This window comes from Homo sapiens, chromosome 18 (genome assembly GCF_000001405.40).
Source record: "Homo sapiens chromosome 18, GRCh38.p14 Primary Assembly".
Lineage (NCBI taxonomy): Eukaryota > Metazoa > Chordata > Mammalia > Primates > Hominidae > Homo > Homo sapiens.
This window is the reverse complement of record NC_000018.10, coordinates 10,083,912-10,109,541: the sequence shown is the minus strand read 5'-3', so window position 1 is coordinate 10,109,541 and position 25,630 is coordinate 10,083,912. Positions and strand designations below refer to the sequence as shown.

General features: G+C 44.1%; 1 long non-coding RNA gene across 2 annotated transcripts; it reads right to left on the bottom strand.

The window, feature by feature from the left end:
• Positions 1-15,647: 15,647 nt before the first annotated feature.
• LOC105371984 (uncharacterized) lies at positions 15,648-23,981 on the bottom strand. Of its 2 annotated transcripts, none has more exons than XR_935136.3 (3): positions 23,317-23,981; positions 16,352-16,659; positions 15,648-15,682 (listed from the first exon to the last, which is right to left on the bottom strand). It is a non-coding gene; the product is annotated as an uncharacterized LOC105371984 (long non-coding RNA). The 2 variants fall into 2 exon arrangements; XR_935137.3 differs by having other exon boundaries at positions 16,352-16,629.
• Between the last annotated feature and the right edge of the window lie 1,649 nt (positions 23,982-25,630).

Sequence of the window (25,630 nt, the reverse complement as noted above, 5' to 3'; positions counted from 1 at the left end):
AACGCGTGGAAAGGAACTATTGCAACTACCTACTACTGTTGAATATAGGACTGTCTCTATTAAGATTGGTAGAAGGCCATATTTATAATTGCTAATTTGTTGCAGAATGGTCTTGAGCTATTTTAGATTGAATGAACACTAATGATATAACTGTAGAGCTGTCCACATTTATAATGAATGCAATAAATTGGATCACTAAATACACTAGAAGGTGATTATAAGAGACTCGGCCTTTCAGAATTTGATGATCTGGAAGAGTAGAACTTGTTCTGACTTGAGTGGAAGTTTCTTTTCCTCCTCTAGCTAAAGGCAGAACCAATGCTCTAAATACTATTGGACTATCTTCAATGTTTAAGAATATGGATAGGCAGGGCACGGTGGCTGACGCCTGTAATCCCAGCACTTTGGGAGGCCGAGGCAGGCGGATCACGAGGTCAGGAGATAGAGACCATCCTGGCTAACACGGTGAAACCCCATCTCTACTAAAAATACAAAAAATTAGCAGGGCGTGGTGGCAGGTGCCTGTAGTCCCAGCTACTCGGGAGGCTGAGGCAGAAGAATGGCATGAACCCAGGAGGCGGAGCTTGCAGTGAGCCGAGATGGCGCCACTGCACTCCAGCCTGGGGGACAGAGCGAGACTCCGTCTCAAAAAAAAAAGAATATGGATAATAACAAACAGGAGACAATATGATAAAGAGATCAGCCGTCTGCATTATGGGCTGGCTTACAATAGGATATTAAACTCAGAATTCCCCTTCAACCCTGAGTTACCATGAGCTGAGAAGTATGATGAACTCAACTCCACACGCTTGAGGTGGAGAAACATGATGTAAAATGCAAAGAAATCTCCTGCATAACAAAATGCAAATCCTTACATCCTTATAGCCTGCTTTAGTTCAAAGAGAGGCTCTTACTGATATAATAGGAAAGCACAACTGGAAACACGAGAGTTAGAGCAGAGAGAAGCAGTGGAATCTGTGTGCTCCATGTGTCATCATCATTTCGAAAGGGATGAGGGGAGCACAAAATAGAATCTCCAAGCCAGTGCCTCAGTGCCACGATTTCATCAATTTACTTTTCCTAACATACCATTTCATCCCATCACACTGCAGCTCAAAACTATTCAGTGAATTTTCTATTCCACTTTTTTTTTTATTTCAGATTCTTTGGGTTGGCATTCAAGATTCTCTAGACTCTGCCCTTGTCTTTCTTATGAGACTTCTCCAACCAAACTGGCCACTCATGGCCCCCAGTGCTTGCCACATGGTCATGCCCCAGGGACGTGTCCCACATGGGCCCTGCCTTACTCATGGTCCGTGGTCTCATCCGTGACCTCCCTGCCCACAGGAAGATGCACATCTCATCAGCTACTCCCTTGTCATCTGAGCCATGCATTTATCTTCAAGCCACTTTTTGGACTTTCTTTTTTCCATAATAGATTTCAGTTTCTTAAGCATATGGGCTGAGAATTTGATTCATTTGTATTTCCACAGTATGTGATATAGTGCTTTTTGCATGGGGCTCATTAAAGAAAAAAGTTGAATAAATGAACAGAGGAAGGGATGGATAAAATAAAACCCAAAGTTGCAATGATTCTGGAAAAATAGACGTATTAGTTGAGATACTTTTAATCTGCATTCAAACCTCCTTACACAATAGAGAAAGATTTTATTTCTTATTCTGACACATAACCAGAAGCCAAGAGGAAGGACACACTTCAGGGCTGGTTGGTAAGTGGTACAGCAATGCCATCAGAAACGCAAGTTTTCACTAATCCCACAGAAATACAAAAGATCCCCAGAGACTGTCATGAACACCTCTATGCACACAAACTAAAAAATCTAGAAGAAATGGATAAATTCTTGGAAACATACAACCTGCAAGACTGAATCAGGAAGAAATTGAAACCCTAAACAGACCACTATTGAGTTCTGAAATTAAAGCACTAATTAAAAACCTATTAACAAAAAAAGCCCTGGACCAGATGGATTCACAGCCAAATTCTACCAGATGTACAAAGAAGAGCTGAAACTATTCTTAAAAATTGAGGAAGAGGGACTCCTCTCTAACTCATTCTGTGAAGCCAGTATCACCTTGATACCAAAACCTGGCAAAAAACCCAAAAAAAAAAAAAAAACAAAAAAAAGCAGAGAACTACAGGCCAATATCCTAATGAACACAAATGCAAAATCCTCAACAAAATACTAGAAAACTGAATCCAACAGCACATCAAAAAGTTAATTTCCCATAATAAAGTAGTCTTTATTCTGGAGATTCAAGAGTGTTTCAACATATATGAATCAATAAATGTGATTAAATAAATCATTTTTGAAATCAATAAACAGAATTAAAAACCATGTGATCTTCTCAATAGATGCAAAAATAGCTTTTGATAAAATCCAACATCCCTTCCTGATAAAAATCCTCAAGAAACTAGCCATCAAAGGAACATACTTCAAAATAATAAGAGTCATCTCTGACAAACCCACAGGCAACATTATACTGAATGGGCAAAAGCTGGAACCATCCCCTTGAGAACTAAAATAAGACAAGGATGCCCACTCTCACCACTCCTATTCAACATAGTACTGGAAGTGCTAGCTAGAGCAATCAAGCAAGAGAAAGAAATAAAAGGCATTTAAATAGGAAAAGAAGAGATCAAGTTCTCTTCTTTCATGGATGATATGATTCTACACTTAGAAAACCCTGAAGACTCCACCAAAAGGCTCCTGGAACTGATAAATAACTTCAGTATAGTTTTAGGATACAAAATCAGTGTACGAAAATCGGCAGTATTTCTATACACCAATAACGTTCTGAGAGTCAAATTCATAATGTAATCCCATTTACAATAGCCATAAAAAATAATAATATACCTAGGAATGCATCTAACCAAGGAGGTGAAAAATCTCTACAAGGAGAAGTATAAAACTGCTAAAAAAAATAACAGATGACACAAACAAATGAAAAAATATTTCATGCTCATGGATTAGAAGACTCAGTATCATTAAAATGGCCATACTGCCCAAAGCAATGTATAGATTCAACACTATTTCTACCAAACTACCAATGTCATTTTTCACAGAACTAGAAAAACTATTCTAAAATTAATATGAAACCAAAAATTAGCCCAAATAGCCAGAGCAATCCTAAGCAAAAAGAAAAAAAAGCTGGAAGTGTCACATTACCTGACTTCAGGCTGTACTATAAGGCTACAGTAACCAAAACAGCATGGCACTGGTACGAAAACAGACTGTATTAGTCCATTCTCACATTGGTATAAAAAGCTACCTGCTACTGGGTAGTTTATAAAGAAAAGAGGTTTAATTGATTCACAGTTCCATAGGCTGTACAGGAGGCATGGCTGGGGAGGCCTGGGAAACTTACAATCATGGCAGAAGGCAAAGCGGAAGCAAGCACATATTCACATGGTGACAGGAGAGAGAGACAACAAAGGAGGAAGTGCCATGCACTTTTAAACTGTCAGATCTCATGAGAAATCTATCACGAGACAGCACTAGGGGGGCAGTTTTAACCCGTTAGAAACCACCCCCATAATCCAATCATCTCCCACCAGGCCCCACCTCCAACACTGGGGGATTACAATTCAACATGAGATTTGGTTGGGGACACAGAGCCAACCCATATCATAGACACATACGTCAATGGAACAGAATAGAGAACCCACAAATAAAACCGTGCACCTACAGCCATCTGATTTTTGACTAAAGCTTAAAAATAAGCAATAGGGAAAGGATTCCCTATGTCATCAATAATGCTTGAATAACTGGCTAGTCATCTGCAGAAGAACAAAACTGGACCCCTAACTAACTTTCACCATATACAAAAATTAATTTCAGATGGATTAAAGATATAAGACCTCAAACTATAACAATCCTAGAAAAAAAAAACCTTAAAAACACCATTATGGACTTTGGGCTTATAACTAAGTCCTCAAAAGCAATTGCAACAAAGACAACAATTGACAAGTGGGACCTGATTAAACTAAATCTCTTCTGCATAGCAGAAGAAACTATCAACAGAGTAAATAGACAATCTACGTAGTGGGATAAAATATTCACACACTATGCATCCAATGAAGGTCTAATATCCAGAATCTATAAGGAACTTAAACAAATCAACAAGCAAAAAGAAAGAGAAAAAAAAAAAACAAATAATCCTGTTAAAAAATGGGCAAAAGACATGAACAGACACTTCTCAAAAGAAGACACACAAGTGGCCAACAAACATATGATAAAATGCTCCACATCACTAATCATCAGAAAAATGCAAGTCAAAACCACAATGAGATACCATCTCACACCAGTCAGAATGGCTATTATTAAAAAGACAAAAAGTAACAGATGCTGATGAGGCTGAGGAGAATAGGTAAAGCTTATACATTGTTGGTGCAACTGTAAATTAGTTCAGACACTGTGAAAAGCAGTTTGGAGATTTCCCAGAGAACTTTAAAACAGAATCACCGTTCAACCCAGCAATCCCATTACTAGGTATATACCCAAAAGAAAACAAATTGTTCTACCAAAAAGACACATGCACTTACATGTTCATCACTGCACCAGTCACAATAGCAAAGACATGGAATCAACCTAGGTGCCCATCAACAGTGGACTGGATAAAGAAAAAGCAGTACATATACACCATGAAATACTATGCAGCCATAAAGAAGAATAAAGTCATGTCCTTTGAGCAACATGGATGCAGCTGGAGGCCATAATCCTAAGTGAATTAACACAGAAAACCATATACCGCATGTTCTCACATAAGTGGGTGCTAAACAATGGGTACTCATGAACAAAAAGATGGCAACAGCAGACTCTGGGGACTACTAGAGGTGAGAGGGTGGGAGGTGGGGAAGGGTTGAAAAACTAAGTATCAAGTACTATTCTCAGTATCTGGGTAACTGATCAATCGTACCCCAAACCTCAGCATCACAAAACATACCCATATAACAAATCTGCACATGTACCCTTGAATCTAAAATAAAAGTTGAAAAAAATTAAAATAAAAAATAAATTAAAAAAATGCTAATTGGCTATTTGTTTTGATCAAGAATATTGATCAATAAGTGATTGAGTCAGCTGGGCACTGTGGCTCACGCCTGTAATCCCTACACTTTGGGAGGCCAAGGCAGGTGGATCACTTGAGGCCAGGAGTTTGAGACCAGCCTGGACAACATGGTGAAACCCTGTCTCTACTAAAAGTACAAAAATTCGCTGGGTGTAGTGGTGTGCGCCTGTAATCCCAGCTACTTGGGAGACTGAGGCAGGAGAATTGCTTGAACCCAGGTTGCAGTGAGCCAAGATTGCACCACCGCACTCCAAACTGGGTGACAGAGTGTGACTCTGTCTCAAAAAAATTAAAAAAAAAATAAATAAATGAAATAAAATAAATGATTGATCCATAAAGTTAAATCCCAAAAAAAGAAAAAAAGAAATGCCAGCTTTCCTATCTCTGTGTTCCACTCGCCTGCTGGCTGCATCCTAAGCAGGAGGCCCTGTGGCTGCCTGCGGCTTCAGATGTCCACCTGTAGCACCTGGGGCCTCATGTATTCTTGTTCACATCTAGTAGGAGATGACACACTTCCCTGTGCACAAGCCAACTCAGGTCACCCAGGGGAGCGCCATGTGCCATTTGGCTTGGACTAATGTTAGAGATGAAGAAAGGCACTTGGATTGTCTTGCGTAGGGTTGATGCCTGAATAAAACAAGTTTTGTTAGGAAGAGGAAGGGTGGTGGGCACTGAGGCTCAGGAGGCAACCAACAATGTCCACTGTAGCAGGACCAAAAACTAAATCATGATGTAATTTATGTGCATTACCTTGTTGACTCACAATGCTGCAAGATTGTCCCCATTTTACTGAAGAGGACACTGAGGCACAATGATGTCTAGTAACTTGCACTAGCTCACATAGCTTTTAAACAATAGAGCCAAGATTTAAAATAAGTCCATGGCTAACAAAGTGACCTAATTTGAAGGCTGCCGAAAAATGCTAGCCCAAATTTAGCTCTCCTGGTTACCAACCACAAGAGCCAAGAAATCCTACCATTAATCATTTCTTAAAGGAAAAATGGACACCACTACCTCTCTCAAGACAAAATATAAAAGTGTTACTTAAGAAGTACTGGCAGATTATCACCTGACATTCCTGAAATTAGGTATCAGATTAATAATGCTATTATTTTTAAAAGAATAAATGTGAATTCAAATGAAAGCTAATTAGGCCTCAGGCACTGTCTTAAGCACTTCTCATATCATGAAGAGAAATTGCTCACAAAAATCCAGTGAGCTCATATGATCCCCAACTTACAGACTGAGAAAGAGAAGCTCAAGGAGGTTAAGTAACTTGCCTAAGGTTATCTGGTTATTCAGCCAACAACTGGCAAAGCTAAGATCTTTGAACTCTTCTTTTTTTTTTTTTTTTTTTTGAGGAAGGGTCTTGTCCTGTTGCCCAGGCTGGAGTAGCGTGATCATGGCTCACTGCAGCCTCAACCTCTTGGGCTAAAGCAGTCCTCCCACCTCAGCCTCTTGAGCAGCTGTGACCACAGACACACATCACCACACCTGGATAATTTTTTATTTTTTAATTTTTTTGTAGAGAAGGGTTCTCGCCATGTTGCCCAGGCAGGTCTTAATCTCTTGAGCTCAAGCGATCCACCTGCCTCAGCCTCCAAAGCAGTAGGATTACAGGTGTGAGCCACTGTGTCCAGCCAGATTTGAACTCTTGCTCTTAAAACCTGACCCATTATCACCTCCATACATCAATAGTCCTTGTATCTGTTTCCTTTTATCTGAATCTGGGAAACTCACTCCTAACTTCCCTGGAATCTGAGACAGTAGAGCCAAATCCTTGTCTCCTCCACCCTCTGACACCCCACTCCCCAACACCCCACTCCCCAATCCATCACAGCAGAAGAAAGTGGCTTCTCCAGAAGGCCAGCCCTATCCCCTCTAAATCAGGCAAAGTTATTTGAAAGCTGACATGGACCCCTAAACCATGGACTCTCTATGGGGGGCAGGGAGGCAATGTTGCCTCCAAGGGCAGCAAAAATTGATTCTTGAGGGAGAAAACAATTTGGATGTTATAATGGTTTGTGGCTCTCTAAAACGCGATGTTATTCAACAAAATTATGTTTCTCCGTATTTCACTTCTCTCATTAGGGAGAATTTAAATTTCATTTGATTTTTCTTCTTAGGGAGGTGATCATGAAGAAATGGTTGAGAAACATTGCAAGGGGGGATCTACCCAGAATTGAAAGGCCCCTGAGAATGCCCCCAGTCCTACCTCCACACACATTTCTCCCTGAACCTGCTCAGTGTGAGCTGCTAACTGGCGGTGGGCACCTTCCCATCAGTCCTGAGGTCCCCAAAGATGTTCTTCATATATACATGTTCCAAAAAGTGAGTATTTTGGGACAGCAGATAGGTTTGGGAAACTCTTGGTGAAGTGGCATCAAGCTGTGGTCTTTGCTGCGGGACTCCCTGGTCTTGAGCCCACCTGTGGGCACAGAGGCTTTCCGGGAAGTGACTCCAGGCACAGCCTGAAGCTTTGCTGTCTCAGACCATCTTCTGGCATGAGGGCGCACTCAGCACACACTGCTTCAGACAGCAGTCACTGAGCCCAGCGCTCAGGATGTGGTAGCAGCACCACTGATTTCTTTTGATGGGATTTACTTTATTTATTTCTGAATTCAGAATGTTCTGATCCTCAACTCCAGCCAGGCTGGATTCAGAATGAATTCAGAATGTTCCGACCCTCAAGCTCCAGCCAGGCTGCACCCCAGAAAAAGCTACACAATGGAAGGTGGAAACAGGGAAAAGATCTACCCCTGTGTCATGGTTTGTGTCACAATCTACATATGCAGCATGACCCATCCACCCCTCCTCGAAATGCGCTCCCAGCCAGCTATCATTGCATTTCGAAAGGGTTTAGGAAACTGTCAATGAATATATGCAAATCCATTTATTCAGCAGGAACAATGGTCACAGAAGGAATGAAGGGAGAGGGGAGAGATGGGAGCTCTGCAAACAATTTCTCTTGTAAAGGGAATCTGCCAAAGGAGAGGAGGAGAAATGGAGACCCGGGGGACGAATGAATCACCAAAGTCCCACGGGGGAAACCGCAGTAAGGCCAAGGACGCAGCTCTGAGAGCTGTGCCAGGGCACTCTGCAGAGCCACACTGCCTCTTACTGCCGGTGTTATTTTAATAGCAAATGCCCAAATCAAAAACTGCAGAACAATGGGATTGCCTCACGGCCAGCAGCCTTTTCAGGGATTTCTGCACAGCACATTTTCATTTCCTCCATGTGACAGGACCACCTTCTTTGTTAAAATGTCACCCACACGATCCTAACCCATGCGGCTAAGACTAGTCCTGCCTTCAAAGAGTCTCTTGGCAAAGCTGAGGAACCTGGACACTTGCCAATAACAAAGTGTTTCCAACCTGGAATTTTGGAGGAGGCTTGTATGCTCTCTGTGACCACCTCCCTTTCTTTATCCTTTCTAAGCCTGGTGGCAATTTTCTGAGGGCAAGCATTTGATTTGGCCCTAGCCTGGTACCCACAGGCATCCTTGACTGATGGAACAGACATGACTGCTGCACACACACAAAAAATCTGTTTTGCTTTGTGACCTGAAGATATCTCTATACTGAATTCTTTATGGCCATGAATCTTAATCTTCCTTGTTTCATAAATCGCACTCAAGGCTGCAAGAAATCCTAACTGCAGAGCCTCTTGTTTTATGTGGCGTTTTCCATCCACATCTGTAAAAATCAAATCCAAAATTTAGTTTCCATCTTCAGAACCATAAAGCATTTGCATCAGAATTTTTCTGTTTTGTTTTTTACTTAGTGCTTTGTTTAAAAAACAAAATTTTTTAACACGTGCTACGTGCAAGGGCAATGGATTTGAATGACAGTTCTTGTGACTATCCCACTTAATCAACAACACCAAATGTCACCCCATAGCACCTTATGCATTGCTAAGCCATGTGTTTGCAATCGGCAATTGCTCTTTGAGCCTGGCCAGCATATGTTCTTGGCTTTTGAATTCAATTTCAGCAACCTTGAGAAAGCACAGCATAGGCTGGGAAGGAATCTGAATGGTATTAGCTTAACTTGGATTCTGTAGAAGCCAGATAACCATCCACCCATCTGTCTGCTCCAAGACGTCCATTTGCAAATGTGCACCAATCCCTCACTTTGTGCTGGGCCTCCAAGGCATGCATGTGCAAAGTGGAGGGAATGAAAAAGTCCGCTGTCTATCTGATGGAAGCTCTATGCAACCGAAGGACTGCTGTGCAGGGTGTCTGTGTGAAAAGACCTAGGCACATACAGATGGTGAACATAATGAGTCTAGTGAGGACCCTGCTGAGGACTGAATTTTAACAGGTCATTGAAGCTGGATAGATTGCTCACCCCTTGGGCTGCATCTTCACATCCTCAAACATCTGGAGGGAAACTGGACAGGAAATGTCCCGCTCATCTCAAAAAACCAGATGTGTGCCATGACATGGAAGGAATGTCCAGATGCCAGACAAATCCACTGCATTCCTCCAAGTGAGTCTTGCCTGGAGTATTTTTGAAAGGCAGATGAGGAACCTCTGATTGAGGCTTACTCAGTGTGGTGTAAATCAGCAGTCCCCAACCACCGGGCAGCAGACCGGCACCAGGCTACACAGCAGGAGGTGAGGGGCAGATGAGAGAGCATTACCACCTGAGCTCCACCTCCTGTCAGATCGGCCACGGCATTAGATTCTCACAGGAGCCCATACCCTATTGTGAAATGCACATGAGAGGGTTCTAGGTTTCACAATCCTTATGAGAATCTACCTAATGCCTGATGATCTGAGGTGGAATGGGTTCATCCTGAAACCATCTTCACCTGCCCCCGGCCCATGGAAAAATTGCCTTCCACGAAACTGGTCTCTGGTGCCAAAAAGTTTGGGGATTGCTGGCATAAAGCATTCTTTATGAAATCCTTTAGAAGAGGCAGGGATGTAAATAAATACATAAACTCATTTCATTGCAAAACTGAGGAATATCTTCTTCAAAGTGCAACTCGATTTTAATAGCTTCACTAAGTAGCTGTATGTGAGATTGTGTGCGTGTGCAAATGGGTGTATACCTGTGTGTTTCCTAGTGCAAGGATTTCAAAACAAGACTCCATATCATTATTATCTGAGGAGCTTCCTAGAAATACAGATCCTTGTTCCCAAACTGGACCTGCAGAACTAAAATCTCCACTTTTGGAATCCAAGAATTTCTCGAACATACCCAGTTGGTGCTGGCATCAGAGCACAGAGAGGCATTCAGGAAGCAGAGGGAAGGGCTCCGAAGTGCTCACTCTCATGGTTAACTTTTGCTGAAAACCAGTTTGCCAGAACTGGTTTTAAGTATTTTTTTTTTTTTTTTTTTTTTTTTGAGACGGAGTCTCGCTCTGTCGCCCAGGCCGGACTGCGGACTGCAGTGGCGCAATCTCGGCTCACTGCAAGCTCCGCTTCCCGGGTTCACGCCATTCTCCTGCCTTAGCCTCCCGAGTAGCTGGGACTACAGGCGCCCGCCACCGCGCCCGGCTAATTTTTTGTATTTTTAGTAGAGACGGGGTTTCACCTTGTTAGCCAGGATGGTCTCGATCTCCTGACCTCATGATCCACCCGCCTCGGCCTCCCAAAGTGCTGGGATTACAGGCGTGAGCCACCGCGCCCGGCCTGGTTTTAAGTATTTGTTGGACATCTGAGTTAGCCCCTACAAACACCATGTCATGTAGCTACCACAGTATTTCCGTTTTATCATTGAGGAAATTGAAGCTTAGTCAAAAAGTGGTAAGTGGTAAATCTGAACATTCAAGATCCCCATATAAAAAGTTGGCTCTCACTAACTTACAAGCTCTTGACTGGCCAAGGTGACCTCCATTCTCAGCGCCAGTTCCCTGAGTCCTGTAAACCTCCAGTTGATGAGAACTGACTTGGGAGATCAGTCTATCCTCTGTCATAGCCCAACCTATTTGTTTTGCAGACAAGGAAACTTTGATCTAAAGAGAGTAGGCCAGATGTGGTGGCTCACACCTATAATCCCAACACTTTAGGAAGCAGAGGCAGAAGGGTCACTTGAGACCAGGAGTTCAAGACCAACCTAGGCAGCATAGGGAGACCCTGTCTCAAAAAATAATAATAATTAATTAGTCAGGCACAGTGGCATGCGCCTGTAATCCCAGCAACTCAGAGGCTGAGGTGGGAGGACCACTTGAGCCTGGGAGGTTGAGGCTGCAGTGAGCCATGATCACACCACTGCACTCCAGCCTGGACAACAGAACAAGACACTCTTAATCAATCAATCAATAGAATAGTGGCTGTCTTAGGAACAACCAGATTTGAACATAGATGTCTGGATTTCATCAGTATCCTAAAAGCACCCTGCTCTGTTTAGTAACTAAGCTCTCTAGGATTTAAATGTTAAAAAGTCCCCTTGCCCTACAAAGCCAAATTTAATGGTGATTACTAATTTTCTAAAAGTTCCATGTTTAAGGATCTCCACAACTAAGACCTTCTAGAAACCTTTGGTGAGCCCCATAGGATCCTGGGTTTTTTGGGTTTTGGTTTATAGTCCAGACAAGAAATATCTCTAAATTCATCTTAGAAGTCTGCTTTTACTATCCTCTCAGCTCCATGAGCATACATTTAGGGGGTAAAACATCAAAAATGGCTATCTCATGGCATTTAGAGACACCAGACACATGTTTCAAAAGTTTTCCCTAAGGCTCCTTGACTCACGTGTCAGGAGCTTATTGCTAAAGTTTTAGTTAATATGGGCTGCTTGAGATGGGCTTATACCTTAACTATCAGCCCACTAACATGTTCTGGAAGCTTCCTCTCTCCACTCTACAAGATTTTATTACTGAAGTTACTATGTAACTCTCCTCAAACTTAGAAGACCAAGACGGGTGTGCTGTAGGGCTTGTGCTGCCTGGTGGCTCTAGTTGGGTTCATAATTTGCCTGTCTCCTAACAGTGAACATTGAAGGTTTCGATCACTGAGGCTGAAACCTGACCGTTGGGGCTTCCCCTGACATATACCTGCCAGGTGGCAGAGGTGAGAAAGGTGAGAAGTCAGTCACCTCATTCCTGCCGTATCCCAGGAGAATGGCCCAGATTTGCCATCCTTTCTTCAGGGATTTGGTGAGTTTTTCCTTCCCTCCCAGGCTTAGGGTACCAACAATTCCTATTTATAATAGGCATAAACATGTATACAATTGTGGGGAAGCTAGGGAATTAAGGGCCCAGAAGAGGGAGTCACTAATTGGACTCTCTGATGATGACCTGCACTGGTGCATGAGGCAGAACTTGCCAGAGCTTCTAGGAATCCAGGGACATCCATTCACCAAAGGGGTCAGCAAAAAACAGAGCAAGGAGGAGACCATAGGAGGCCAGCTGGGTCAGCAGCCAAGAAGATGAGCTGGGCACAGTCAGGCAGAGCAAGGACAAGGTGACCCCACGAGCAACTATATGACCATCTGTCCATGAGGAACAGAGAGAACAACCTAGCCACTACCAGTGTCTGCCTCTGTCTCTCATCACATCTCACCTCATCTTCATGGGGTGATGCCTGCTTCCCACCTTCTACCTCTCCAAGGCCATGCAACTTTCTCCTCTGGCCAACTCTAACTCAGACTTATGCAAGGATACTGGGAAACACAGTTCCAGCTTGATCAAGTGGACACAGTGCAAAACCATCCATATATACCTCTTTTGACCATTTTTCATTTCCAAATAAATACGATCATAAAATAATGTTTTTACCTAACATGGTGCAACTATCTCTCACACAACAAAAGACACACTAAGTCTCTCCCTGAAATAGGGTGCAAAGTCTCAGTGTTGCTTTATCTATCTTTGGGTGGCCATACCATGCAAAATCATGTAAACTGAGACTGAAGTTCTTCCTTCCCAGTCAACTGGCCATAGGGAATTTCTAATGAGCCATAGCGGAAGTTGAGAGAGAGAAGGCAACTGAGCGGAACTAGGGGCCGGGAGACTCTGAGCCACTTGTTTGGGTAACTTACATGTGCTTTCAGGATCTGCTCAAGGCCAACATTGAATATATTACCTCCCCCTGAGGATGCAGTGCTGCTGTGCACACCTGATTTTACAGGTTGGTTGGTCAGAAAACACCTGATTCTTGCTGGACAGTTTGGATCATGTGGTGGCCTATGGTCAAGTGTTCAGTCTTTTCTACGGCCCTGTAACAAGTCAGAAGCTATTTATCAAAAGAAAAAATAGTTATTTGCAGAGAATGGTAGAGCTATGCTTCTCCTAAAGACTTGCTGTATGCTTCATTGATAGGAGCCTGCCAATGTCACAGTATAGCAACCAGTCAGGGACGCATCAAGTGTCATCGAATCTGTTGTGTCACATGGCCAAAGTGGTGGAGCAACTTGCAGAGACGTCTCTTGCGGAGCCTTCTTTTGTTAGGAGACCCACTCAAAACTGGCAGCCTTTCTGGGTGCTTCAACAAATGGCTCAGAGTGACATGACCAAATGAGGTATATATTGTCTTTAAGATCCAAAAAAGGCCCATTAGATTTTGCATTTCTTTCTAGAGAAGATTCTAGATACAGAAACTCACCTTTCACCTTGGAAGGGATTTTTAAAATGCCTTGGAACATGAGACTCCTATACCTTTTCACTGAGATGGAAGGCCCCTGAATTTTTGTGGGACTTATTTCTACCCTCTGTTACACATATGTCTTTTCAAAGTGTCTAGGTCAGTTTCCCCTCAACTCACTTCCTGCTCACCAGGTCCAATCAGCATGATATCATCAATTATCTTCAATGGAGCGGACCAGCACGATGTCCCATGGAATGGAGAGGCAGTCAAGATCCCTGTGAATTAGATTATGACAGAGGACCAGAGAGCTGCTATAACCCTGAGTTAGTTCAGTGAAGGTGTATTGCTAGCCCTGCCAACTGAAGACAAACTGCTTCTGGTGATCTTTACCAACAGGTGAAGAGTGGGGAAAATCTGCAAGCTTGAGAGCTGCAAACCAGCTGGAGGTGATGTGCAAACAATACACATCTGCAATTGGATTCACCACCAGATTAAGTTTACAGTAATCCACGTTTGTTCCTAAAAATCCATCTACCTTCTGCACAGGCCAAATAGACAAGGTAAATGGAAATATGGTAGGATTCTCTAACGCTGACTTTCAAGTTCTTAAGAGTGGCACTAATCTCTGCAGTCCTTCCAGGAAGGGTATAATGCTTTTGGATTAATATTTGAAGAGGTAGAGGAAGCTCTAGAATCTTCCACTTGGTCCTTCCCATTATAGTAGACCTTGGGTCATTCCATGGGTCAGGGAAACAATGAGGGGAGTCTGACAGTTGTTATGTCTATTCCAGTTACATATTCCAAAACCAGGGATGTAAGCATAGGATGGGTTCAGAGACACACTCGGCACAAGATGAAATAGACCTGAGTCAAAACTCCATGACTCCAGACCCCAAAAATTTCCTACTCTGGCTAATGTATCATAGTAGCCTTTTGAGTCCAATAAACCCTCAAAGTCTCATCACTTCCCCTTTCCTCAATGCACAGTTACCTGACAAATAGCTGCCACATGCCTTTGGAGAAGGGTAAGAGGGAAATTTACAGTATATACAGTCATGCATTGCTTAACAACAGGGATACATTCTGAGAAATGCGTCTTTAGGTGATTTCATCATTGTGCAAACAGAGTGCCCTTACACAAATCTAGATGGTACAGCCTACAACACCCTAAGCTATATGGTATGGCATTGCTCCTAGGCTACAAACCTGGGCAGCATGTTACTGTCTTGAATACTATGGACACTTATAACACAATCATGAGTATTTGTGTATCTAAACAGATCTAAATATAGGAAAGATACAATAAAAATGTGGTATAAAAGACAAAATTATGATACACTTATATAGGGAACTTACAAGTCAGAACTTGCCAGAGCTTCTAGGAATCCAGGAACATCCATTCACCAAGGGGGTCAGCAAAAAACAGAGCAAGGAGGAGACCATGGGAGGCCAGCTGAGCCAGCAGCCAGGAAGATGAGCTGGGCACAGAGTCAGGCAGAGCAAGGACAAGGTGACCCCACGAGCAACTATATGACCATCTGTTTACAGGAGTTTACAGGGCTGGCAGTCCTGGGTGAGTCAGTGAGTGAGTGGTGAGTGAATGGGAAAGCTAGGACATTACTGTACACTACTATAGACTTTAGAAACACTGGAGACTTAGGCTACACTGCATTTATTTTTTAAATTTTTTTCTTCAAAAATAAATGAAACAGCTTACTGTAACTTTTTACTTTATCAACTTTTAAATATTTTTAACTGTTTGACTCATTACATTTAGCTTAAAACACACATTTTATAGCTATACAAAAAATATTTTCTTTCTGTACATTGTTATTCTATAAGCTTTTTTCTATTTTTAGAAGTATTATCAGTATCACTGTCTTCCTCTTCCACATCTTGTCCCACTGGAAGGTCTTCAGGGCAGTGACATGCATGGAGCTGTCATCTCCTGGGATCACAATGCCTTCTTCTGGATACCTCCTGAAGGACCCGCCTGAGGCTGCTTTACAGTTCCTTTTTTTTTTTTTTTTTTTTGGTAAGTAGAAGGAGTACACTCTAAAATAATGATTAAAAGTGTCATATAATAAATACACAAGCCTGTAACATAGCCGCTTATGATTATTACCAAACATTATGTGCTGTACATAATTGCATGTGCTCGACTTTTGAATGACTGGCAGTGCATCACCAGAAACATGTGAGCAATGCATTGTGCTATGATGTCATGACGGCTACATCACCAGGTGATAGAAGGTTTTCAGCTCCATTATAATCTTATGGGACCACTGTCGTATACTTAGTCCATCACTGACTGAAATGTTGTTACGCAGTGCAGAGCCGTACTCTGCGGGGTCAGCCTCACTGCACGTGAGCAGTTATGCCTGTGCCTGTGTCTGCTCTGAGAGGCCAACGGTAGTCACACTCCTCACACCACTAGACCCTAAGTCTCCGCTTTCCACTAGGACATCTTTCATTAGACATCCATGCAGCCTTACCACCCCTGGAGTGCCCCTCACTGTGGGAATCTCAGTCTCTGTTGCCTGAACTCTGCTCCCCTCCTGTGAGAATGGGAGCCCTTGATGAGGGTCTTTGGATACAAATCTGTTTGCCCCTTCGGGAAAGGCCATAGTCAGGGATTGGAAACTGCTCATTTCAGTTTCCCAGGGCTGCTGTAATAAATGCCACAACAGGCTGGCTTGAAACCACAGAAATGACATCTCTCACCTTTCTGGAGGCTGGAAGTTGAAATCAAGGTGTCTGCAGGGCCCTGCTCCTGTTGAAGGCTTGGGAGAGATCCTTCCTCACCTCTTCAGCCTGCAGTGGCCTCAGCTGTCCTGTGGCTTGTGGCCCCGTAGCTCCCACCCTTCGCCCTCCATCCTCACTCGGCCTTCTTCTCCGTGCACATCTGTGTCCTCTGCTCTTCTTAGAAGGACAGCAGTCCCTGGACTTGGGGCCCACTCTGCTCCAGTATGAACTTGTCTTTCATCACATCTTCACGGACCCTATTCCAAATAGGGCCACGTCCTCAGGTTCTGGGTGAACATGAATTTGGGGCGGGGGAGACACTGTCCATCCCCCTGAGCCCTCTAAGGGTATTTCTCAAGCCTTACTGGGCAGCTCTCTTAAGACCCATGATGCTTGGGCCCCCCTCCCACCTGCTGGGATGCTGATTTAGTTTTGCTGGAATGGAATCCAAGCATCAGTACTTTCTAAAGCTCCCCAGGTAATTTTGCTGGCTGTAAACCAGTGATCTGCCTGACATCTGATACTTTCCATCCAACCTGGATCCAAGGGGAACGGAGGTCTCTGCCCTCCTAATCTCAGGCTCCCAATCAACACTGGCCTTCACCTGTCTAGTCCACAGGGATTTTGCAGAATATACAGTCACTACCCAAACTTCTTGCCTTAAAAAAACACAGGGCATTGAGTAGGAAGTAAGAGAGGGAGATGTTGGCGAAATGAAACAAAGTTTCAGTTAGACAGGAGGAATGAGTTCAAGCAATCTGTTGTATAACATGGTGACTATAGTTAATAACTTGGTATTGTATTCTTAAAAATTGCTGAGAGTAGATTTTAAGTGTTCTCACCACAAAAAAGATTATGTGAGATAATGCACATGTTAATTAGCTCAATTTAGCCATCCCACAATGTATGCATATTTTAAAATGTCATACACAATAAATAGATATAATCTTTATTTTTCAACTAAAATAAATACAAATTACTTTTAAAAAAACACAGGACATTGCATTCACATAGTCAGAGTTAGGTCCCATAAGCCAGTGGTCCTTAACTTTTTTGGCACAAGGGACTGATTTCATGGAAGACAATTTTTCCACGGACCAGGGGGCGAGGGGGATGGTTTCGGGATGATTCAAGCACATTACATTTATTGTGCACTTTATTTCTATTATTATTACATTGAAATATATAATGAAATAATTATACAACTCACCATAATGTAGAACCAGTGGGAGCCCTGAGCTTGTTTTCCTGCAACTAGAGGGTCCCATCTGGGAATGATGGGAGACAGTGACAGATCATCAGGCATTAGATTCTTATAAGAAGTATGCAACTAGGCTGGGCACGGTGGCTCATTCCTGTAATCCTAACACTTTGGGAGGCCGAGGCAGATGGATCATTTGAGGTCAAGAGTTCGAAACCAGCCTGGCTAACATAGTGAAACCCCGTCTTCACTAAAAACAATAATAAAAAAAAATAGCCGAGCGTGGTGGCAGGTGCCCATAATCCCCGCTACTCAGGAGGCTGAGGCAGGAGAATCACTTGAACCCAGGAGGTGGAGGTTGCAGTAAGCCAAGATCGTGCCACTGCATTCCAGCCTGGGTGACAGAGCAAGACTGTCTCAAAAAAAAGAGCAAAAAAAAGTGCGCAACCTAGAACCCTTGCATTCGCAGTTCACCATAGGGTTCGTGCTCCTATGAGAATCCAGTGCTGCCACTGATCTGACAGGAGGCAGAGCTCAGGCGGTAATTCGAGGCGGGGAGGGGAGCAGCTATGAATGCAGATGAAGCTTTGCTTGCTCTCCTGCTGCTCACCTCCTGCTGTGCGGCTTGGTTCCTAACAGGCCACGGAGTGGTACCAGTTCCTGGCCCCGGGGGTGGGGACCCCGCTCTACATGGTATTGCTCAGCCTGAATATACTCCACTCTGGGATTATCTTTACTTTGGGCATCTATTCTACATTGTCTCTAAAATACTGCAGGGGGTGTATTTCTGAGAGGTGACTACACTTTTTCATTGGCTGACATCTCTCAGTCTTTGTTGCCTCACCTCCCCACATACCCAAGGTCTGAAGTAACCTCTGAAAACATAGCCCCCTCACTCTTAATGTTCCCCTGGCATAGCGTTTCTCAGAAATGTGGATGTACCCTGGAGGGTGGGCCAGGCCCCATCTGCATTCTTTGCAGTCCCCACTCCCCAGCTCTGAACCCTTACTGGCTCCAGCTCACAGTACACACACGTGTATCTAAGCTTCCTGTGGCTCAGCCTCTTCCCCAGCAGCTGAATTCCTGACCTCTCCCAATGTTCGCACATCACCCCCCTGCCCAGCTTCATGGACTTCAAACCCAAACACATGCGAAAATAAGGGATGTGTCTACTATGTTGGTTTAACAGATTCCATTTAAAATACACTCATCTGCTCTGTTAACAGGTTTCATTTAGTATAAAACCAAAGACTAGCTTCCAAACCTGAAACAGTGGTAGTTTTCCTTACTATCTTTAAAAGAAGGAGAAGGAAGAAGAAGAGGGAAGAAGAAAGAAGCCCCTTTTCTTCCTCATGTTAAAGTTTCCAGTTGTAGAAGAAAGGACATTTTTTACTTTTTAATTAAGCTTCCCAAATGAAATAAGCCTACACTTATTTCAACCTTGGATGCTCATAGAACCAGAGATTTTCCACTGTGGAATTGTCCCCGACTGTCTTCCTAAAACAGCACCTTGCCTTAAAGGCCTGCTTAGAGCGGACGGCCACTCTGCCGAATTAGCAGCAGGGAGCTAGGGCCAGCTGGCCCCTAGTGATTGGCAAATTGCTGCTAATTATTACCAACACGCTTCCTAATTATTATCTAATCCAAGAAAGCTACGTTTAATATCACCTGGTGGGCCACAGAAAATTCAATTCATGTGAACTTTAGAAACACAACAGAGCAGCACTGGATTCCTTTCCTGTTGTATTTTCCTTCATTGAAATGAACCCCTGCACCTGTTCTTGCTCTCTCCCTCCTTCTGTCTCTTTCAACCCCCGCCCAACTACATGGCTAAACACTTGGTTGATGTTTTCCTTTAAGTGCTTGGCTTGGGGTATTAATAGCTCTGTGGTGAGAAGCGCATCTGCCTCTTCCTGGAAAGCTATATGTAAAGCAAAGGAAGCTCATCAAACGCCCCAAAAAGGACACAAAGACACCTTGGCAGAGTGCTTTTCCCCAAGGCTGTTATTAGAAGCTTTCATGTTGCTTCCACCAGGGCCACACGGCAGGCTCAGAAGAGTTTTCTAATGTGGCAGTTGTTGGGGGGTGCCGTGAGGAGGCATCAAACACCACCACCCACTTCTCTTAGGTTTGCTTGCATCCAATGACTCAAAATCAGAAGAAAGCACAAGCCCTCAGGTTCACCAATGCCCTGGGACATGATTGGCAGGAACCCTCCTTGCACGGAGCAGGTGGTGAAGAGGGCACTGGACTGGTGGTCAGGCGACCTGGCACCCTGCTTTGCAGGCTCGCTGTATTCCACTACACTGCACCTCGGTTCCCTGCATTTAGCATGAAATGATTTCGATTTAATAATTTCTAAGTCTCCTTCAACATGTAACAATCTGAAATGCCAAGATGAAGAGACTCATAAGGCAATGCAAACTGCTAACACAGATGAGCCACACTGGGCCTCTTTCCTGCCATTTAACTCAAAATTCTAATATATTTAGCAAAAATAATCTCAATGATTTGCATACAAATCTGTGCCTATCCACAAATATTTCTCACTCAGTGTTCTTCCCTCCAGGGTTTGTCATTGCAAGGAACTGTCGGGTTCCACTCCTTACTCCTTCATCAAGCCCAGTTTTTATTTATCTCTAGAGTCCGTTGGTGGTTATTACTTACCTTATTGGAAATAATGTTGCCCTCTAAGAGCTAAAGGGTGAAATAAATGTCTAGTGAACCCATAGAAGAGAAACAATGTTACCTTAAATACAGGAATAACAGAAGCAATGTTCTGTTCCCCACACTGCTTCCTCTTCCCAGAAACACAGAAAAACACCTTTCTTTGCTGCCTTAAAGCTGGTTGTGGACCCTATGCTTGAGTCCTCTTCCTGCACACTCTGCAGGAGTGATGCTATCCCTGGCCAGGGCAGTACAGCCAGGGGCATGCTCCCCACACTCTCATCTGTGCAGCTGAGATTAGAGAACGCTCAGATGGCAGAGTGGAAGCTGGAAGCATCGTGGGTCTCTGAATCATCCCTGGAGAAGAGCCACTAAGAGAGATACCTGACTCACCTTGGATTGTGGTACAAGCAAGGAATAAATTTGTTTCTGGTAATCACTGAGATGTCACAGTTTTTTACAGCAGCAGAGCCTACCCTATCCTGACTGCTTCAACAAGCCAGCCCTGAAAGCACAGGGGAAGGAGCGTTCCAAAAGCAGAGGCAGCCACTACCTAGCCAAGACCTGTCCTCAGAGAAGCACCTTAGCTCCAGGCGTTTTTCTGGCTCCACTGACAAAGTCTTCCACCAGGTAGAAACTGGAATGGTTATTGTGGCCAACTTGTTTAATTCCTCAAACCATTAAGCTATCAGTTCACCTAGTAGCCATTGTTCTTATTTGGTGCTTGCAATAATTCAAGTGAGAGATAACGTGGCTTCTGTGATCTATGGCATCGTTAATCAAATTCTCCCAGGGATCTGAACAGGTAATACCAAGAGAATCAGGCATAGAGCTTAGGACCAGCTGCTGAGGACTCAGGAGGCCAAGGTAAAGGGCCACACTACATAGAGTCTCTGATTATCGAACCTAGGCTGCTGGCCTGACTTCCTGATGCCAATAGCCTTACACCTGGGCACTGCTCTTGTCTGTCTAGGCCTACAAAACCTGTCCCTGTCCCTACCACTGGGTCAGTCAGCTATTGCTGCGTAACAAACCATGCCAGTGGCAAACAGTACCATGCATTTATTCTCATGCCTAAAGATCTTCAGGTCAGCTAGGGAAGTTCTGCTCTGGGCTATAGGTCTACAGGTCAGCTGGGAGGCTCTGCTCCACATGCGTTCATTCTGGGGCACAGGGGAAAGAGACAGCAGTTACCTGCAGCATTTTTTTTTCCATGCAGAAGTTGGAAGCTCCTGGAGGGGCAAGCAGAGACATCCAATGTCTCCTAAGGTCTAGGCTCAACATCAGCAGGACACTATCCCCTTCTCCCACAGTCCACCTGTCAGCCCAGCACTGTCAGAAAAGGGGCAGATACTTCTATTCTGGTCGGAGGAACTACAGAGTCACATGGCAAAGGGTATGGATTTAAAGTGGGTGGAAAATTGGGAATAACAGAGCAACCTCCTGCATCCACCTATCAGGAGCTGACCCAGTGACCTCCAGTGGGGCTTCTCAAACATTAACAGGCATGAGAATCACCTCAAGAGTTCATCAGACACAGATCCCCAGGCCCACCCCCAGAGATTCCAATTTAGTAAGTCTCAGGTGAGGGCCTCAGAATTTACATTTTCGACAAGCTCCCAGGTGATCCTGACACTGCTGGTCACGTTCAGTAGCCATGACCACAGCACACGCGTGGGTACTAAGGGTCAGATCCATGGGGGCAGCAGCTGGAAATGCTTTCATTCTCTAGGTATTATCTTACCTCTCAGAATGCAAATGGTAGGACACTTCCTTAGCTGTGACGGAGAAGCAGATTCAAACCCATATGGGGATAGAGCTCGGGTGAACAAACGCCTTGTCGCTCTTTCACCTTGGTAACCAAGAGCACACAACTTGGTCCAAACCCCTCAACTCTCTTCACCATTAAATAAGGATTGTAACTCTAAAAACCATTCTATAACTTGCCCCTAACATACGTATGCTGAGTGAGCGCTTCCTTGCCCTGTGCAGATTCATGGTCTCTATTGAGACTCACGGTGGGTGCTGAAATCACCTGTTTACAAAGCTGCATTCCCATGCCACCCTGTAAGTCTTGTGAAAACAGCCTCTGTGTCCCCTCCATGGGTCTCCCTAATGCCTGACACTTATTAAGGGCTCTACCTATGTTTGCTGAGTGAATAAATGAGGGAGGAAGAGTAAGGTTTCCATCTCCTGGGGAAGCAAGACTGTGAGACCATCTGAGAGAACAGTGCAGCTGAAGGGAATGTGAACTCATGCTGCTGCCTCGGGCCCCTGGCTCTTCCTGGCCTCCAGCCTTCGCTGATTTCATAGAGTCTGAGCACTGGCTTCCTTCGTCATTGTAAGAAGCACCAGGAGGGATTTCTAAAATCTTGATGCCCAGGCCATCATCCAAACCAATTAAATCAAACTTGGGGGTGGGACCAGCCATCGGTAATTTCCAAATCTCACCAGGTCATTATCACAGTGGCCAGAGCTGAGGACAGCCGAGCACTGCGGGACCCCAGCTTTTCAAACAGCAGTGACTGACACCTGCAGACACACGGGGCACCAATGAGTCATGAGTGACATTTAACCTTACTGCCACGAGCTCTGCAGCTATTTAGAATCAACCATCTAGACAAACAAAAAAACATTCTCCCAATGTTACGAAAACAAAGGATTAGTAATTATAACACAAAGCTGGGTGCCTCCCTAATCCTCACAGAACCTGTTTGATCATGAGTTACAAAGAAGTGACAGGGCCTGAGACTGCCCTCTCCGGCTGGCTGCGGAAGGACCTGCCCACAGGCGGGAAGAGGGCAGCTGGCCATCCCGAGTACAGGAGCCACATCAGACAGGTCCTGTGCCTCCCAGAGGGTGGCACACCACAAGTTCTGCCTGGAGAAGGAGAAAAGAGTACACAGAAATCACGGGCCAGGAAAGTTAGAGAAAGAGCACAGCAGAAAAAGCAGAAGAAAAGAGAGACCCAGGCAAGCTGAGAAGAGGCTGCTGAAAAGCAGGAGGGAGAGCAGTGGAAAGCGAGGCCTTCAGTGGGCCTTCTCACTTGCCTGGGGCCCTTGCCCCACCGTCTCACCATGAGCATCACAGCATCATCCTGTCACACCATCACTGGACTTGCTTTAGGTGTCTCCTCAATGGATCTCCTGGGGTTTATGCAGGCCTGCATTCTCCCTCTGAGGGCAAGTTCCCTGAGCAGGGAGCACTTGCAATTCCATCTGCAGTCCAAAGTCCCGTAATAAACACCCAAATAGAGCATGCTGGTTTAGAGGCAGGGGAAACCAATGCTGGCAGCTTGGGCCTTGTTGGTTTCTTATCACCCACAGGGATAAGCATTGCCTTTGTAAAGTAATAAAAACCTGAATCAAATCAGCAACAACTAGGCAGCAAAATATCTTGACTCGATCAGAGGCCTCCATAGCTGAACACAGCCAAGGTTAATGAAGTCCAGCCACCAGGAATATGGCCCACGTAATCAAGGGGAGTTTGGTTTCTGAATCCAGGTCTTTGGAGACTTCTTGGTCTAGCTAATTAGTTGCACGTGCAGTGTCTCAGAGGCGGTGACTGATAGTTGATGGACATAGACTTCTAGCCTGCATTATATCATCCAGAAAACAGGACATGACCATTCCCAGCTGTTTCTTTTACTGCAGGCACTGCCAGATGTCACAGCAGATCACATCACACGGTAAGACTAAAGGAAGCTTCCACCTTCTCCCCCAGCCTGGGAAAGAAGGAATGAACAGAGATTTAAGAGTTCGCTGTTTCTGTTTTCACTAGAGGAGAGGAAGAATGCTGACTCATCTTCTGATACAATTTTATCCACCCAGGAACCTGATGGCAAAGCCACTTCAAAGTGAGCTACCATCTCTGCAAATATGACTCAATTATCAGATGTGAGGATGGTGATGGGATTTTCTCAAGGGTTCCACTACGCATACAACCTGGCAATTTATTCAGCTGTGTAGTAGCTGCCTGCCTTGCATGGGATGCTGTCTTGTCATTTCACTTTATATTCTTTAAGAGCCACAAGCCTTGGGTAGTCTTAAAGCCACGCCTTCCAAACAAGAACCTGTTCGCTCATATTGTTCAAGTCTGAGCGACCTAGACCAGGAGACTGTAAGCAAGGCCAAATACCAGGCTCCGCTCCATCTAAATTCAACATGTACCAGCCCACGTGGCAAGAAAGAGAGAAATAACAGTGCCTACTATGTGGGGGTTGCAGTGAGAATCCAATGAGAAGCATTTACCAACATGCTGAGCATGTAGTAAGTCCTCAATGACTGTGAGATAATCCATATCTGACCATTCTATTCCTGTGCCTTATCAACCTGTTCCTAGTGGCCACTAGTCCTAGAACCAAATTCTCCTTTAAGAAGCATCCTTAGATGAAGTGGCCCTTGGCAGGATTTTGTCCAGCTCCCATGCAAAAAGCCAAAATCAGAACTTTCTTCCCCTCTCCTCATTCCCTATGGGCTCTGGGAGAGATTTAGTTTCACAGGAAAGGGGCAAAACAACGTTCACAGGCCCCCAGGTACCTCTCCTACCCAGCCCTTCCCAGATATTCTGTTCTGTATTTAGGAGTGAGTATAATGAGCTGGGCTAAAGGAGTGTCATGTTTTGGTCTGCTTGTTTTTTTTTTTTTTTTTTTACTTTGGTCGTTTTTTGTTTTGGAGAAAAAGAAAAGAATTTCATGGTGTACTAATTTTCTTTCCGGAGTTAAAAACATTCAAGAAGAGACACCTCATGAAAGAAGAGATGCAGATGGCAAATAAGCACATCCTCCACATCACATGTCATCAGGAAATGCAAATTAACACAGCAGTGAGATCCCACTGCACACCTATTAGAATGGTCAACGTCTAGAACACGACAACACCAAATGCTGACAAGGATGTGGAGCAACAAGAACTGTCTTCCATTGCTGGTGGGAATGCAAAAGGGTATAGCCACTTTGGAAGACAGCTTGGTGCTTTCTTATGAAACTAAACAGTCTTACCATACGATCCAGCAATGTGCACCTTGGTATTTACCCAAAACAGTTGAAAACATATGTTCACACAGAAACTTGTACGCAGATGTTTAGAGCAGCTTTATTCATTATTGCCACAACTTGGAAGCAAACAAGATGTCCTTCAGTAGGTGAATGGATAAATAAACTGTAGTACAGCCAGATAATGGAATATTATTCAGCACTAGAAAGAAATGCCCTATCAAGCCATGAAAAGATGTGGAGGAAACTTAAATGCATATTGGTAAGTGAAATAAGCCAATCTGAAAAGGTTACATGCTATATGATTCCAATGATATGACATTCTGAAAAAGGCAAATCTATGGATACAGTAAAAAGGTTAGTGGCTGCCATGGGTTGACCCCTTACACTGAGCTTG